This window comes from Homo sapiens, chromosome 8 (assembly GCF_000001405.40).
Source record: "Homo sapiens chromosome 8, GRCh38.p14 Primary Assembly".
NCBI classification, from domain to species: domain Eukaryota; kingdom Metazoa; phylum Chordata; class Mammalia; order Primates; family Hominidae; genus Homo; species Homo sapiens.
In genome coordinates, this window is record NC_000008.11 from 120,765,163 (window position 1) to 120,782,959 (window position 17,797).

Genomic DNA, 17,797 nt, shown 5'->3' on the forward strand with positions numbered 1-17,797 from the left:
TGCAGTGAGCCAAGATCCTGCCACGGCACTCCAGCCTGGGTGACAGATCAAGACTCTGTCTCAAAAACAAAACAAAACCAAACCAAAAAAACTGAAAAACTCACATTTCTCTGTCTTCCTTATAGGGAGTAATGGATGGTATAAGAGATAAGTAGAATTTGTGGGTAGGGATTCCAGGAGAGTTTTTGAAGAGAGATAAGTGAAGTGGAAGAAATGTCCTTGACTGTTGCCCTTCCTCTTCCTATAACGTAGACTGTGGTTGTCTGAGTCCATTTTGTGCTTCTGTAAAAGTATATCACACGCTGGGTGACTTTTAAGAAAGGACACTTATTTTTCATGGTTCTGGAGGTTGAGAAGTCCAATATCAAGGTGCTGGCATCTGGTGAGGGCCTTTTTGCTGCATCATCCTATGGTGGGAGGCAGACAGGCAAAAAATGCATGCATGCAAGAGAGCAAGAAATGGAACTCACAGCCTCGAGCCCTTTAATAATTGGCATTAATGCATTTATGAGGATGAAGCCCTCATGACCTAAACACTACCCACTAGGTCCCACCTCCCAACACTGTTGCACTGGGTATTAAGTTTACAAAACACATTTTTTTTCTTTTTTTAAGGAGCACATTCAAGTCACAGCAGTGGCCATGATAGCTAGAGTTTCAGAAGCCATTCTGTGACCTGGAGCATGGAAAGAAAGTGCTAAGGTTGGTTGAACTGAAGGAGAGAAGGGGGTTGTGTCCTTCATAAATTCATGGAGCCACACCTGATCACCTATGTCTCAGCTTTATGTAAGAAAACAAACCCCTAATTTGTAAAGCCACTACAGTTAGATTTCTGTTTTTAAGCAAGGAAACAGTTTACGGCACTCTTCTTTTTAAAATTATTCAGTACTCAGCAGCCATTTGAATGTTTAATAGAACAAGGCATTATACTGGCACTAAAGAACTGTGAAAATGACAAGAAGAGGGTTCTCACTCTGGGGATATTTATTGACCAAATGCTGCATAACCACTGAGAACAGGATACATCTCTCCCTCCTTCACTTTTACCTACATTTCCTCACTTAATCCTCACAATGAGGTTAGTCTCATTTTTGTAGATGATGAAAATAAGATTCAGAAAGGATAAATAATTGGCCAAACTACTAAATATCAGAGCCATGATTCAAATCCAGGTATGACCGATTATAAAGCCCACACTCTTACCACCAATTTATCTTTGTATTTCCAATAGTTTTTGCCCCAAGTGGTTTATAGCAATGCTCTTTGGCACATAAAGTTTCCATTTCATTATGTCTTCACTATTGATTATACATTTATAATCACCCACTCTCCTATATATAATATTTTTTCTTTAAATACTATTTTCCTTATATTGTTATCCACTCACTTTCTAAAAATTCATTAAGTCATTTAACATAAATCTGAGCACCAATCATATGCCAATTATATATTGGCAATACCAAATTGAATAAGACATAGTGTATCTTCCAAGTAATTAGAGAAGATGTTAACCTACAAAATACTGTATAGCGCTATAATTGGCTAGAATATTTTTAGTCATTAGGTAATGAATGCAAATCACTGCATATCATTGTTAAATCTACTTTGGTATATTTTATGTTTTAATAGAAAAATGTAAAGCTATGTATTTGCCATGGAGCTTACACATTGGGGTTCATTGCTGTTGTTCATTTGTTTTCTTACTGTTTCTCTTCCACTATTTCTTTTCCTAAATAGGCTATGTTTTATATTCTATGCCCATTTAGAAGCCAGGCATCTTATTTCTAATTATATGAATGATTATCCCAGAGTTTTTTTCACAAACACAAAATATTTATGTAATCAAAACAAAGAGTTTAACTATGTTTTACAGATGGCCAGAAATCTAGTGCTTACACTTCTCTCATCCTACTCTCCTCCATTTTCCAGTCTTTATTAATTTATTTTGGTTCCCAAGCCTAGTCACTACCTTGTGTGTGTATGGTGAATTTCAGTTGTCTTTTTTTAATTCTCTCGTAAGAACCTTTTTTTGTCCTCTGTATTCTAGTTTGTTTCCATAGTTACAGCAATTATTAGCATCAGCGCTTATGTTGACCCTTAGTATTTTTATTCATCTGATTTTAAAGTTCAAGGAAAGCTGAATGATGATTCTCTGGGGACCCCTGCATTGGGTGGGAAGCTGAAATAAACTTCTAAACCCCCTCCCACTCCAAAGTACTTTATAATTGTACAACAGTGTATATAAAGTGTTCATACACACACCATGCATATATATTTCAATAACACAAAGAACTTGCAAGTTAGTTGGCTTGCTTATACACTCTTTAGACCTTGAAAATGTTAACAACAAAACACCAAAAAGGTAGTAGAAGGATCTAGTGGTATAGCTGTTTAGAACATAGGCTCTACAGCCAGACTGTCTTGGTTCAAATCTGGATTCTGACACTCATTACTGTGAGACCTTGGGCAAATCACTTAGCCTCTTTGTTCTTCTTCCTCCTCATCTGTGAAATGGAGATTATCGTTCCTTAGAGGATTGTTCTGAGCCTTAAATGCAATCAGACACCTAAAGCCATTGCAAGAGTGCCACAATCAAAAGTTCTTTCGATAGTAGTCTTTTATTATGCTCGGTTGTTTCTTCAGCACAGTGGCATTTTTATTAATATACTGGTAACTGCCATGTATACCTTTCTGCACATTCCAAGACTAACCCTCTCTCATTCTTGATAATTCCTAAATGATGATTCTGATGGATGAAATGGGAGATGCCACTTCTTTACTTCCCTCAAAAGTCCTGCAGGGATTATCCAGGGAAGATAGTCACAACCTAGCCAAGCAACAATATCTTTCTGTGGCTCAGATTTTAAAATTGCAACTGCATTCAATTGGTTTGTTGATCTGCCCAAGAGCCAGTTTTTTTGAGGTTCTAAGTGCACTGCTGGAAAGGCAGGCAGTTGATTCTGTCCACAAAACTTGTCACAGAAAACAGCAGCTAAGCCAGGAACATCTTACCTGGAAAAGAAACTTATCCCACCTGTACATGATGTTACCGCAGTCTCCTATGGAATGCATTGACCTCATGCTGTTCAAGTCCCAGCGAATCAACACCAGCACTAGAACTTCAGCCATGTGCGAGTACCCTACAGCCAGTAGTGATTGGTGCATGGCAGCCCATATCTTCAGAGCTTTATAAAGGGGACATTCTAAAGGCAGCAGGTATTAACTGAGTATTATTTGGTACACAATGGTAAATCGTGTGTGCAAATAACACTAGCTACATTGGTACCTCTTCCATATTCCAATGATATCATTTATATTTGATCCAATTACAGTGGGAGGAGGGGCAGACAGCAAACACATGAATGAGTACACATACACTATGCAAGATGCTAATGTAATAAGGGATATGGAGAGAAATAAGTAGGGGTGGGTCTTGGGAGTAGTGTGTTGGGGAGGTAGTAAGATTTGCCACACATATATTTGTTTGATTTTTGAGATGTTGAAAGAGAGAGAGGATGACGTCCTGTGAATGTGCTTCAAGTCCTTATCAGCTTGTTACTCTGGAAACGTGGTGAATCTATTCCGAGCCTCAGTTTTCTTCTCTGCAAAAGATGGCCAATAATCCTGGAGTTTTGGATGGTATGGGGAAGAAGAAAATGCCTGATGCATCCCTGCCCTCCTCACATTTTTAGAAGAGACAGAGACTTGATCTACTTCTTAGGAAAGGGCAAGACTGAAAGAAAATTCAGGTCCATCTCAGTGGCTCCCCACCACAGGTGGAGAGGCTACTACTAATCAGACTGATGCACACTACCAGTGGGTGCCTTAAAAGAACGACAGACTCCCAGCCTCTCTCTTGGCCTGTGGACATAGACCTGTTTGCCTCACCTGGCAGGTCCAGCCAGGCGTCTTCTCTCTCAGTTCCAGACAAGGCATCTGACGGTGTGGATCAGCCAGTTTAGACCCAGGGTCCCTCTATTTGAAATTCAGGGCAAAAGGGGTAGAACAAGCCCCCATTTCAGCTGGAGGAAGTGTGGCTTTTGGCACAGTTTTAGCACCAATAGAGTTGATTATTTTGATCATCATTTGGCAATAGTTCCTTATATCCTTTTTTCAAGCAGATTTCTGGACAAGAGGAACCCAGTCAGAACCTTTTCCAGAAGTATTAAGTAACATAGTAAATATGACCGCACCTGCTTTGACACTCCTCCTATTGACAAGTGAGTCAATTTCTCCTCTTCTTTAATCTGGAGGAGCTCTGAGACTGCTTTGACCAGTGGAGCACATGGCAGAAATGATGTTGCTCCAGTTTCTAGGCCCAGACTTTCAGAGACTAGCAGCTTCCACTTCCTGTCTCCTGGATGCTCATTCTGGGTTGGGGGGGCGGTGGTGCCAGCAGCTATGTAAGAAGTCTCACTATCTGAGATCACCATGCTGGAGGAAGCCCAGGTCAACCACATGGAGACACTGTACAGAGGGAGCTGCTCCAAGAATCCTCAACTGATCCAGCCATCTCAGCCTAGGGGTTGCAGTCAGGTGAGTAGAGCCTTCCAACGACTGACAATTTAATTGCAACCATACGGAGGTATCCCAAAAAGAGCTGCTCAGCTGTGCACATTAATCCCCAGAATGGTAAGAAAGAATACTTTTTTAAAGTTATGAAGCTTTGGATGGTTTCCTACACAATAGATGATCAGCATATACACAATGCCTAAAGAATGCTCACTGTATGCCCAATACATAATATTATTATGTGATTTACTCAAACTCAAAAACAAGTTTGCTGTTGGACAGGGTCAAGAACAAAAACAGGGTTGAACTCTTAGCTCAGAGTTCTCTCTGCTACACGTAGTTCTTCTCTTACTAATCAATGGGAGTTGCTTGTAACCAGCCACTATATTTTCTGGGAAACATTTGTATGCATCCTAGCTGTCTTTTCTATCAGGAAATGCATCTCTTCCTACCAGTTTATGCTGATAGCTACTTCAACATCTGACTCCACAGTAGTCATGACTGTGATGCCTTCTCCTATTTGTTGATCCTACATTGCCAGGTGGCTTTTCCTCCCAACAAATATTGATGCTGGTGGAGGAACTGATACAAAGTAACAAGAGAAACCACCACCATCCACTTTGCAGGAAGTGAGGTCAGTGTGGATCCTTTCCTTGGCTTCACATTCCCTACAGACGACATCCACCTCTCTCCTTAAGATATGAGCTAGGTCTAGTAATAAAGCATTTTTTTTTTTTTTGCCTTATTTCAAGTGCTTATCTGAAAACCAGATCTTACAGAAATTTGGTCTCCAATGTTAAAAAGGAGAATATAAATATGGTTTGAGAGAGGTATCTTTGAAAGTACACACCTTTACGCCGGGTGCAGTGGCTCACACCTGTAATCCCAGCACTTTGGGAGACCAGGGCGGGCAGATCATTTGAGGTCAGGAGTTTGAGACCAGCCTGGCCAACACTGGTGAAACCCTGTCTTTACTAAAAATACAAAAATTAGCTGGGTGTGATGGCAGGCGCCGGTAATCCTAGCTACTCAGGAGGCTGAGGCAGAAGAATCACTTGAACCCAGGAAGCAGAGGTTGCAGTGAGCCGAGATTGTGGCATTGCACTCCAGCCTGGGCAACAAGAGCAAAACTCTGTCTCAAAAAAAAATTTTTAAAAAGTACAGACCTTTAATGATGGAACCATCTAATTTCAATGGTCTGTGCTTATTTTCTTATGCAGTTTATGTCTGGTCCCATGTTTACAGACATTTTAATTAGGCTAGGGAATGGGTAGAGGTGTGAAATAATGATCTCAGAATACTATAGCAAGAAGAGTCGCTTTGGATCATCTATTTCCTGGATTGTCATTTTTTACCCAGGAGGTTGGTCACTCAATGGAAGGGTAAAATATCACTACGTGGGAGGAGATCAAAGAGACTTTAGAGATGCAGCAACACTGGATTTGTGGGCGGAACAGAATAAAACTAGCAGCTGTGTATCCCCAGGAAGGGAAACTGCTCTGTCCCAGAGGGAGGTGAACAAGGTTTTGGGAAAAGAGAAAGGTCCAGGTACCCAGACAATAATTAGAATCTCTGAATCCAGAGAATGAGATAAAAGATCCAAATTTATAAAATGGAAGAAAATGCTAGGTGGTGTGTTCTCTTTTCATTTCTACCATTTCTGTCATCTGAAGAGCAGAAAAATAATTATTCTGAAGAAAAATGCACCTGACAAATTTCTGTTTCCATGTGAAAATGAAGAAAAAGACAGATTTAGGAAAAACGTATAAAAAATTTCTGTTCCATTGCATCACAAGTGTTTAAATTTCTTCGCTAAGAAAACAAATGCATTAAGATTGTGAAATGCAAGTGTAGTACGTTTACAGCTTTCTTCTAGTAGTCACTCCATTTGGACTGGAGAAGCCCTTAATTGGTTTCTGTCTTCTCCCTAATCAAAAATCACTTCAGCTCGAGGGTGTGACATGAAGACAATAGAAAAACATGCTTAAAACAAAACGAAACCATGCCTCTTTTTTTTTTTTTGAAACTTAAACCCAAACAGAGAGCTTTAATTTACATCAAGCTCTCTGAGCCTCTTTATAATATAACTTAGCCCTACTAACTGAAATCTAAAATATACTGCTCTTAAGAATTCTGTTAACAGTGTTTCAACACATTTTGTATCTGTTTTATTTTATTTTATTTATTTATTATTTATGTATTTATTTGTTTTGAGACAAGGTTTCACTCCCCTTGCCCAGGCTGGAGTGCAGTGGCACGCACTTGGCTCACAACCACCTCCACCTCCCGGGCTCAAGCGACCCTCCTGCCTCAGCCTCCCAAGTAACTGGGTCTACAGGCATGTGCCACCACACCCGGCTAATTTTTGTATTTTTAGTAGAGACAAGGTTTCACCATGTTGGCCAGGCTGGTTCGAACTCCTGACCTCAAGTGATCCACCTGCCTCGGGTTCCCAAAGTGCTGGGATTACAGGCATGAGCCACTGCACCGACCTGTATCTGTTTTATATCTGTCCTCTCCAGAACCCTGTAGATTGTCTCTCACATATGGGGTTAGGGTCACACAATTTTTTCTTCTTTTTTTTTTTTTGAGACAGAGTCTCACTATGCCGCCTAGGCTGGAGTGCAGTGGCGTGATCTCGGCTCACTGCACCCTCTGCCTCCCAGGTTCAAAGCATTCTCTTGCCTCAGCCTCCTGAGTAACTAGGATTATAGGTGCGCACCACCACACCCAGCTAATTATTTCTATTTTTAGTAGAGACGGGGTTTTACCATGTTGGCCAGGCTAGTCTCAAACTCCTGACCTCAAGTGATCCACCCACCTAGGCCTCCAAAAGTGCTAGGATTACAGGTGTGAGCCACCATGCCCAGCCAGGGGCACACTTTTAAAATGTGTGTGTGTTTGTGTATGTGTGTAAAATAAACAAGCAAAGGAGGAGGATAAATGTTTCCTGGCATCCAATACCACTGGAGTCAACTAAGCTGAAATGAGAAGGGTGAGGAACAACCCACACTGTATATACCTGCCACAGATAGGAAAGAGGAGAGAACAGGTTTTAAATTGATGGACTCTGGCATCCAGGGCAGAAATGGAAGTTCCTCTAGTCTAAAACAGGGATCACAACACTCATTCAAGGCTGGAGGGGCCCTTGGAGAGAACAGAAAGAGAAGAAAAAGAAAAGAAGATGGGGAAAAAAGATGCTGCCATGAGAGGCAACCCGACCAGGTAACACACTATTCAATGAAAGCCCCCACAACAAGTGTGCTACTGTTGGTGGCAGCAAGATCACTCACAGATCACAGGAGGGAGGTAGTCCAGTCCCCTATCATTTACATGTCAACTATGTAGCCCCCAAAATTAAAATTAAAAATAAACAAATGAAATAATTTAAGAACTGAAAAAAAAGCCCACTGAGGACATACGTGTGAAATAATAATTTTAAAAAATCAGCAAGGCAACTGGAACTGAGATTTAAAAGAGAGCTCTGAATGAACTTGGGGTAATATGGAGGAAATCTTCTTAGAGAAGCCTATTTTGAAGTGGGTTTTAAAGAGAGATTGAGGCCGGGCATGATGGTTCATGTCTGTAATCTCAGCACTTTGGAAAGCTGAGGTAGGAAAAATTGTTTAAGCCCAGAGTTTGGGACCAGCCTGAGCAACACAGTGAGACCCCATCTCTATTACAAATAAATACATAAATAATAAAAATAAAGAGAGATTGGCATGGATGTGAGCATGGAGCAGTACCCTGGAAGAATTCCAGATTGTGTGGCTGACCACAGTCCAGAAGTGAAACTTCAGATGAAACGTACCAGGCCTTATCCATTTGAAGAAGTAACTTCCGAACATTTACACTGTGTTCCATGGTAGCCCCTGAGGATACAAGTATGAGTAAGGCACCATCTGGTCCTTTTAGGAATCCCTAAGTTAATAGGGAAAAAAATGTGTAAACAAATAATTATGATACAGCAGGGCAAGTATGGGAAAAAAAAGATTACCGCCCAAACCCACTGTGTGATTATTGTGTGCCAAATACAATAACCTTATATTTATCTCATTTAATATTCCCAAGCACCCTATCAAGTAGGTACTATTATTATAGAGATAAGGACATTGAAAGGAGAATAATTTGCTCAAGCAAATGTAATCGTTCAAGGTCACTCACATAAGTATGTGGTGGAGCTAGGCTTTAAAGCCACATCTTCTGGATTCAGGGCTATAGACTTTTAACCACCATGCAATTTTCTATGTAAAATTTGCTATAGAAAGGAAACTAATATTTATCGGAAACCAAGTGCTTCTTTGTTTAATTCCCTCAATAGTTCTGTGAAGCTGGCACTGTGTCTGTGTTATGGTTGAAGCAATGACATTCAGAGTGGAACAGGTTCTTAAGTTTTGTTTGTGAAACTCCAAAGCCGATGTTCCTTCCAGTAAATCAAATCCAAGTGGGAGGATGATGCAACCAACTACCTGAGAGGCCTTGGAAGACTTAAATGTGGAGAGAGTGAGCTGAATCTAGAAGAAAGAACAGAATGTGACCAGTTGAGAAAGAATATTGCAGGTGGTGTGATTAACTGGAGAAAAGATGCAGAGGCATTCATGAGCACACCCCATGAAGGTGTGGTCAGACATCCAGTGTGGCTGCAGCAGGGCTACCTCACTGAGCTGCAGCCAGGGCCATGTGGCTATCTCATGCTTAAGAGTGTGCATGTGTGACTCTGAGTCTAGGGAATGCACAGAGCTTTTTAAGGAGGAGGATGGTACTATCAGATTTGCATTTTAGACAGATCTCCCTGGCAGCTGTGTGGCATACGGAGTGGAGGGAAGGCAGTAATTGGATTCGTTTAGGTGGCAGAATTGACAGAATGTGGTGAATGAGAGAGGAGTGTAAGGTGAATTCAAGGTTTCTAGCTTGGGAGCCTGGTGGCAGATTACAAAAACCAAAGAAGAGGAGGGTTTGTTGGTTTGTTTGCTTGTTTGTTTGTTTGTTTGTTTGTTTTGAGATGGGTCTCGCTCTGTCACCCAGGCTGGAGTACAGTGGCACAACCTCGGCTCACTGTGACCTCTGCCTCTGGGTTCAAACCATTCTCCTGCCTCAACCTCCCAAGTAGCTGGAACTACAGGCACCCACCACCACGCCCTGCTAATTTTTGTATTTTTGGTAGAGATGGGGTTTCACCATGTTGGCCAGGCTGGTCTCAAACTCCTGACCTCAAGTGATCCACCTGCCTCAGCCTCCCCAAGTGCTGAGATTACAGGCATGAGCCACCACGCCCGGCCAGAAGAGCAGGTTTCTAGGGGAAAATGTTAAGTTCGGGCTTGTTTGAAGTCTTTGGCACATTGAGAAGTACTATCTATGAGGCGGCTCAAAGAATTTAGAGACTTCAGGGAAAATATGGAGTTAAATTTTTGTCATAACATACTTGTCTAAAACTCAAAGAAGAGGAATAAGAACAGGATGAAACAGGAAAATAGTCAATCTGGCCTAGTTTGTCTTCTTTGTGTTTTGAGGGGAGAAGGGAGATGCTTGCTTTGTATGGGTTTTTTCCCTCTCGCTCTCTTTCTCATATAGTTGGGACTTACCGAAAAAACTCATTGCAGGCTTTGAATCCCAGCGACATTCATTCCGCAACATACTAACCACATCCTGGTGATCCCAGCTTCAGAGAGGAGAACACGGGGACTTGAGTTCACTGTTGCGGTGAAGTCCTGCTCTGGCCCCAGGCAGAAGTCAAGATCAAAGCTCACACTGCAAATATTGTGCTGATTAAAACCAAACTTTCTGCTTTTGATGTGGGCCAACCTCCATTGCTGGTAGGAACAAAGGAGGAGTATAGCAAAAAGATACTAGCAGTAAGTATAAAACCAGGATGCACTCAATTTAAAAGACAGAGAAAGAAAAAAAGAGAGCGATGAGGATGGGGGTAGACAGAGAAAGGAAGAACGAAAGAAAGAATGAAAGAAGGAAGGAAGGAAAGAAAGGAAGGAAGTAAGGAGGGAGGGAGGAAGGAAGGAAGGAGGGAGGGAAGGAGACAAGGAAGGAAGGAAGGAAGGAAGGAAGGAAGGAAGGAAGGAAGGAAGGAAAGAAGGAAAGAAGGAAGGAACAGAAAGAAGCTGACATCAGCCCATGCCTAGGGAGTGGTGCAGAGGACCATGTAACAGGGTAAAGCACAGTCTAAGTGCCATTCTTTTGTCAAGGGCCCGGTTCTTTTTTTATTATTATTATTATACTTTAAGTTCTAGGGTACATGTGCACAACGTGCAGGTTTGCTACATAAAAATGTATACATGTGCCATGTTGGTGTGCTGCACCCATTAACTGTAAACTAGTTCAACCATTGTGGAAGACAGTGTGGCAATTCCTCAAAGATCTAGAACTAGAAATTCCATTTGACCCAGCCATCCCATTACTGGGTATATACCCAAAGGATTATAAATCATGCTGCTATAAAGACACATGCACATGTGTGTTTATCAAGGGCCCAATTCTATGGAAGAAACAGCAGAGCTCCTCAGATTACCAATCCTCCATTCTAGTCTCACTGTGCCGTGAACTGCCAGTGGGTCTTAGGGATGTCCCCCTGCACCTCTTTCAGGTCAGTTTCCTTGACTGACACATAAACACTGAAGGCTCTCTGTGGCTTCTTCCAGCTATCTAACATTTATATTCCATGGCTGCTTCCAGATGTTTTCTTATCCTGGGTTACCACCTACATTGTTTCTTGGGGAGAAGGATGCCTGACTCCTACAGAGTAATGAGACACAAGGAGGGTGCCTGAGCCATTTCTACAGACTCCAAGAGGTTCTAACCAGCCCAGGTCACTTCCACTTTTGAGACCTGTGGACACGTTATGATGTTATGAAATGCCAGAGCAGGATTACCAAAACTCTCACATATTTGTAAATGCTTGTATTTTGCAAATGACCCTTATTTACAACCAAAATAAAACTTCGTTTGGGAACAATGTCAAGAGTCTTAATGTGAGGCCTTTTATGAATACAAGGCCTCCTGCTAAATGGCCCACCTGCTTCCCCCTCATAAGCCTGGTCATATCAGTACCCCCAGGAGCTTGGCACATGGTTTTCACATGGTGAATAATGAAAAAGTACTTCCTAAATGAATAAGTGCACACATGGATGAATAAACAATCTACATGTCCTTGGGCTCTGCATACTTCATTGGGAAAATAATAAGGTGGCAACAGGGTTCTCTAAGAAGCGTGCAGATTAAAGTTCCCCTCTATGGTTGGCCAGAACCCAAAAAATCACCTCACCAATAGATCTAAGGAACAGAAATGAGGCCTTTTAATTAGAAGTAAGAATTAACATTCCAGTTTTAATAGTAAGCATCTAATACCAATCTTCAACTAGGATACATTTCTACCACTAGATTTAGAACGGGGAAGGACAGAACTTTCCAGGAGCCATAGACTGGGTCCTTTGAAAGAATTGCTACTATGGTTTCAACTGCTGTTGTGTACTTCATACATGTTTTTGCAAGGATTAGGAGGAAATAGTTGGTTAAACAAATCCTTACACCATGGATAAATAGGGGCCTCAAAAGACTGACAAACATGTTGAACTTGGAAAAATCCCAAGACCATGCATCACAATCTTGACACTACAAGTATCTGTTCCCCACCCAACTGAGCAGATGTTATTGCTCTCAAAGCTCCATTTTTCAGCCAATGCCTCCTGCTAGATTTACCCACTGAGGATTTCTGATTGATAGCTATAGAGAGGAGAGCCACCTTGAAGTTACAATTTTTAAAAAATCAGCCGCTAGATTTTGGGTTTGAACATCTCAAAACGATAGGCCCCTTTCTCCCAATTTGCCATGGATATGTCCCAAACAGTCTGTGCAAGTCTGTGCTTCAGATTCACAGCCCTTAGAAAGAGGAAAACATAACTTGACATCTACCTTCCTCACTGGCTTCATGAAGAGGATTAATGAGTTCATAAGCATTAAGTACTTTGCAAGCCACAGGTGACTGGAAAACATTATTAGGACCACATTTTTCCTAACAAAGTGGTTCAAGCTTTGAACAGAAGGTTAAATCCCAGGAGAAATATCTACTTTTAATACAGGAAGCTGGATGCCTACTGTCAGGTAATAGGATGCCTGTTAAAATGCCCTGGGTTATCCAGTCACTAGTGACAGGGACAGATTTAGACAATATGAGGGCAAGAGTATCCCCCAAAGCACTGTTGAAAGTAACTGAAGTAATAAGCAATTCCAATTAACAGTGGCATCTGCAGCAGCAGCAGAAACACTTTGGTTAGACTGATGTTTCTCTGAACTCACTCCCTTTCTCCAGTCTGAAAACCTTTGCTGTTTTGCAAACCACAGCTCTGTTAACAATGTCCAGTCATTTACTTCTGCCACATCCAAACTTTGTGTGTGCACAAACATGACCTAGTTGAACTGCAATAATTGTATTTATTTGATACAACCCAGGTGGGTTCCAAGACTCCTGTTAGCAGGGAAAACACAAAGTCATTAAGTTCACTTCGGGCTTAGATATGTCTCCTTCCTGTTCCCAGGAACATTTCTTCCTGAATCTATATTTACTCACAAAGTACAAATAATGTGAAATGGCTAAGCAGCTAAAAACTTACAGAAAGATCTCTACTACCCCCACAAAATGATATTCTATTTATTTCGCAACCCAGGGTGCCTAAAACTCTAAAACAACTTTAGTCACCAAAAAAGGTGGAAACTTCAGATGCATTTAGGAAGGCAATGACCTCTAAATCAGGAATCCTGACCTCTAATTTCATCAGTGCTCTGGCATTTCTGCAAACTTTTCATTTTCAGAACAAAAGGATTTGTCTAGTAGGACAATGAGGAGGAGATTTTAGGATGAGAATGGAGGTAGGGAAAACACTTATAAAGCTATTGCAGGACTTCAGGAAAGACATAATATGACTGAAAGAAATTAGTGGTGGTGGGAATTCAAACATGGATTGATTTCCGAAGAGCATCAGGCTTTTTGCTAGTAGCTGAGTCTTCATTGCCATCAAGAGTCCCTGTCTCTGTGAACACCCAACACACATATAAATAACCTTGACATATATTAACTGCTACAACTGTAGCATGAATAAAATGTCTCAGAATCACAAGTTGAGAAGCAATTGATTGAGACTGGAATAGTCTAAAAAAACTGAAAAAACAATGACATATTGAATAGGATTTCACCTATATCAGAAGGAGGGAAATAGCTTTCTTGGCAGCATGATGCATGCATCTGTTTGGCAGGCTCAATGCCTAGTGAGTCATTTATTCATTTATCCACTCCATCATTCATTTGTTTATTTATTCATTTATTTATCAGGCCTCTGCAGTATGTTAGGCTCCACGTGGGGCCCTGGATATATTATATTGAGTAAAGAGCAGTGGGCACAGATGAAAAAGTATTGGATGTCAGGCTATGAAGTTTCAGTCATATCCTGATAGTCATAGGATCTAATCAAGGATTTTTGAGCAGGCAAATGACATGATCACCACCTCTATTAAGTAAAATAGCTCTGGCCAAAAATAAACTGTAAGGCTGGGCGTGGTGGCTCATGCCTGTAATCCCAGCACTTTGGGAGGTCGAGGTAGGCAGATCACAAGGTCAGGAGATTGAGACCATACTGGCCAACATGGTGAAACCCCATTTCTGCTAAAAATACAAAAATTAGCTGAGCGTGGTGTTGTGTGCCTGTAGTCCCAGCTACTTGGGAGGCTGAGGCAGGAGAATCGCTTGAACCTGGGAGGCAGAGGCTGCAGTGAGCCCAGATTGTGCCACTGCATTCCAGCCTGGCAACAGAGTGAGACTCTGTCTCAAAATAAAATGAAATAAAATAAAATAAAATAAAATTGTAAAGTGGAGAGTTAGAAGCTGATGACTGAGAGCCCAACTGTAGAAGATATTGCTGTAATCTAGAAACAGGATAAGATCTGACTAGGACAAAGGAAGAGGGCATAAAAAGAGGAATAAAAATTTGCAAGCTGTGGGTAAAACGAACTTTGAGAGATAGGCAGGGACAGAGCCGGAGCGTTAGTTTTCTGGCTTGTGTTAATAGATAAAACATTCGTCTGTTACCTAGAAGGGAGTTTGACAGGAGAGTGAAAGATGATAGTTTTGGTTTGAGGTATGTCACGTTTGAGAAATTTCTGGGTCGTCCATGTAGGAACATCCAGTGGACATGCCTGAAGTTCGGGATAGAGGCAAAGGCTAGAGAAAGGGATTTGAGGGTTGTCTGCAAAAAACAATATAATATATCCACGTAGGGCTCTAGATATATTACATTGAGTAGAGACCGGTGGGGGCTGATGGAAAAGTGGTGGATGTGTTGCAAAAAAGTAACAGTGGATGACACCTGATTAAAAGCCTATTGATGACATATAAGGAATGATGATCTAGTTAAAAAAAAAAAAAAAAGATCCGTGTCAGAGCAGGAGAACCAGGAAAGAGTGCTATCACAAAGCCAACAAGGCAAGAAAGAATTTCCAGAAAGAGGGCTGGTATGCAGCAGAAAGTGCTGAAAACACAACTCCTTCTACATTTCTTTTCACCCCACCACCAAATTGGCTTGCCTCATTTGCAGACATATCCTTGAATATCTCTTCTTAAGCTATGCTTTAATATTTATCTGTGACTATTGCATATACAGTAGCTAAATATGAAACTCCATTAACATCAGTGTTTTCTGACTCCACTTTGGTGAGTCATTCAACGTAATCAGGACTTAGAAATGAGCAACAGATGTGTCACATTCTTTGAGCAGTGCTCAAAGAAACCCAAAATGGTCAACATGTAAACTTTTCTAAAATATGTTTTCCTGACATTATGGATGATAATGAGGTTTTCTAAATTATAAGTCAAAGCCATTTACTTTATAGCATTTCCAGAAAAATCTGAATTGCAGAAATGCCATGTTTCCAAGAAACAGTAATGGTTTCAACTCTGTTTTCTCTCTTATGTCTTACTCTTTGGATAACCAATAGCAAATTTCTGGAAGGGGAAAGCTGCAAAACCAAATCAAACTGGCACCACAAATGATCAACTGACATCTTCATAGCAGTTTAGTTCATGTTTAAAATTGAAGAATAAAGCACCATACCTGTTAACTATCTCTTAATAAGTGGTACTTCTTAAAGAAATGAGCTATCAGGGTAGATAATTTCCCTTTTTATAAAAGTAACATACAATATTTTAAGTTCACCTTTTGTTTTAATTTTATTTAAAATAAATGTGGTCAGACAGAAAAATATAAGAGTAAACTCATTACAACTCAGGCCCAATTTGACCTTGAGTAATTAAGCCAAACACCTTCTCATCCTGTGCTATGCCCCGTGATCATCTAATCCCTGGTTTCCTTAGAGTGAAGCAAAAGCTCTTTGCTCAAATTAGATCCATAGAGAATGAGACTCCAAAAGAGGTCTGTGGACCTACAGGCTATGGGGAATGTCTGCTGAATCAGTGATTCTAGTAGTAAGTGGTGGGGAGCAAAGAGATAATGTCTAGAGTTGATCATCAAGGAAATGTAACATAAGCATATTTTTAAAGTTAGGGTGGTAACCACTAAAAGAGCTAAATATGGAAACTGTTAAAAGTGGTTTCCTCTGGGAAGTAAGCTAGGCATTGAGGAGGATGGGGATGGCTGAAGCAGACACTGTGCTTTGCATTATAAGACATCCTGTATTTTGCCATTTTTTTTTAACCAAAGATATTTTTCACTTGGATAATGTATGAAAATGGTGAGAAAAAGAACCATGAAAACTATTAAGTGTTATTACTACATATTCACTTACTTTGGCTTATGTAATAAAGATATTTGAATTTAGACTCACAAAGTCACAAAAAGACTAACTTCTATCTTACAAATAAAAAGACTGAGACTCAGATAAGTTAAGTGGGTGACCCAAGGCCATGGAGCATAGAGTCAAAGCAAGAGCCCAGCATTCCTACTAGGTCTGTGTATTATACGTGTGTGGCCAACCTACCTCTTTTTATGAATTTCACAAAACAGAGAATGGACTCATTCTTATTCAGGAATTTTCAGATGATTCTATAGGTCCTCCTGGAAAATTATATCACAGCTCAACCTCAGTGGACATTAGAAATGTCTAATGTTAAAGAGAAGAACAAGAAAAGTCCTAGAAGCTGGGGCATGGAGTTGGAATTTCTAACATAAAGTCTGTCTCTAGCATGGGAGAGACCATATCATTCTGTGTGGCAGCCACTACTGACATATAGCCAGGTGTATTAGTTTGCTAGGGCTGTCATAACAAAGTATCACAAGCCAAGTGGCTTAAACAATGGAATTTTACTGTCTCATTATTCTGGAGACAAGAAGTCCAAAATCACAGTGTGAGCAGGGTTGGTTCCCTCTAAGGGGCTGTGAGAGAAGGAACTGTCCTGGGCCTCTCTCCATGGCTTGCTGGTAGATCACCTTCTTGCTGTGTCTCTTTACATGGTCTTCCCTCCATGCATGTCTGTGTGTTCAAATTTCCCCTTTTTATAAGAATACCAGTGATACTGGACTAGGGGCTAATCCTACTCCAATATAACCTCGTTTTAGCTAATCATATTTGCAACAATCCTATTTTCAAATGCAGTCACCTTTTGAGATACTGGAGTTAAGATTTCAATATATGAATTTTGAGGAGACACAATTCAACCCATGAAACCAGGAGAAAACAAAATCCTTGAAGCCTTCCCTCGAACATTTAGAGTTTCTTTTTTAAAAGAAACCTTTTTTTAAAAAAAGTTTTTTAAAAGTTAAAATCAACTGAAATACAACATTTATTGGTTAGAGATTTCCTGCACATTTACCTATTTTTAAAAACTCTATTAAATAAAATGGAGAACAGAAACCACATTATCTCCCAGAATGTAATAATAATTTAAATTAGGCATAAATATGTATACATACATACCTACACACACACACATATATATGTAAAATGTTATAGTATAAACGTAACAAATGTTATATAACAGAGTTACCATCCAATAATGTAAAAACATTCACCTAACAGATACACGAAAAAGTTCTACCCTCAAGTGGATACGTCACGTTTTAAGAGGTCTTGTCAATTATAACTGAACCACTAAATGAAATCTGAGCACCTCAAACTGGGAAAACACACATGAAAATTTAAAATCCAATTTACTTTTCCATTTGACCATGATATTTACCTTTTGCTTTTTCACTCAGAAAGAAAAACAAGGAAAACAAGTTTCTCTTTGATTTCCAGTCAACTCTTCATGCACTGGTCTTTATACTAAGAATAT

The 17,797-nt window shown here is 40.4% G+C and overlaps 1 protein-coding gene and 1 long non-coding RNA gene across 5 annotated transcripts in view; one reads left to right on the plus strand and one right to left on the minus strand.

Annotated features, from left to right (window-relative positions):
• The window catches only part of SNTB1-AS2 (SNTB1 antisense RNA 2), a 15,580-nt gene extending 3,910 nt beyond the window's left edge, over positions 1-11,670 (plus strand). The window contains exons 2-5 of the long non-coding RNA NR_125419.1: positions 616-702; positions 3,497-4,536; positions 10,113-10,364; positions 11,197-11,670. This is a non-coding gene — a long non-coding RNA (SNTB1 antisense RNA 2). The remainder of the gene's footprint in view (positions 1-615; positions 703-3,496; positions 4,537-10,112; positions 10,365-11,196) is intronic.
• SNTB1 (syntrophin beta 1) overlaps positions 1-17,797 on the minus strand; it is a 276,291-nt gene that overhangs the window by 229,407 nt on the left and 29,087 nt on the right. The window contains exon 1 of one of the 4 annotated variants that reach the window (XM_047422127.1): positions 1-14,921. This exon is cut by the window's left edge and continues 49,289 nt beyond it. The exons of the other annotated variants lie outside the window; for them this stretch is intronic. The gene's annotated coding sequence lies outside the window, so the exon portion shown is untranslated. Of the gene's footprint in view, positions 14,922-17,797 lie in introns of those variants that run through there. 4 annotated transcript variants of the gene reach the window in all.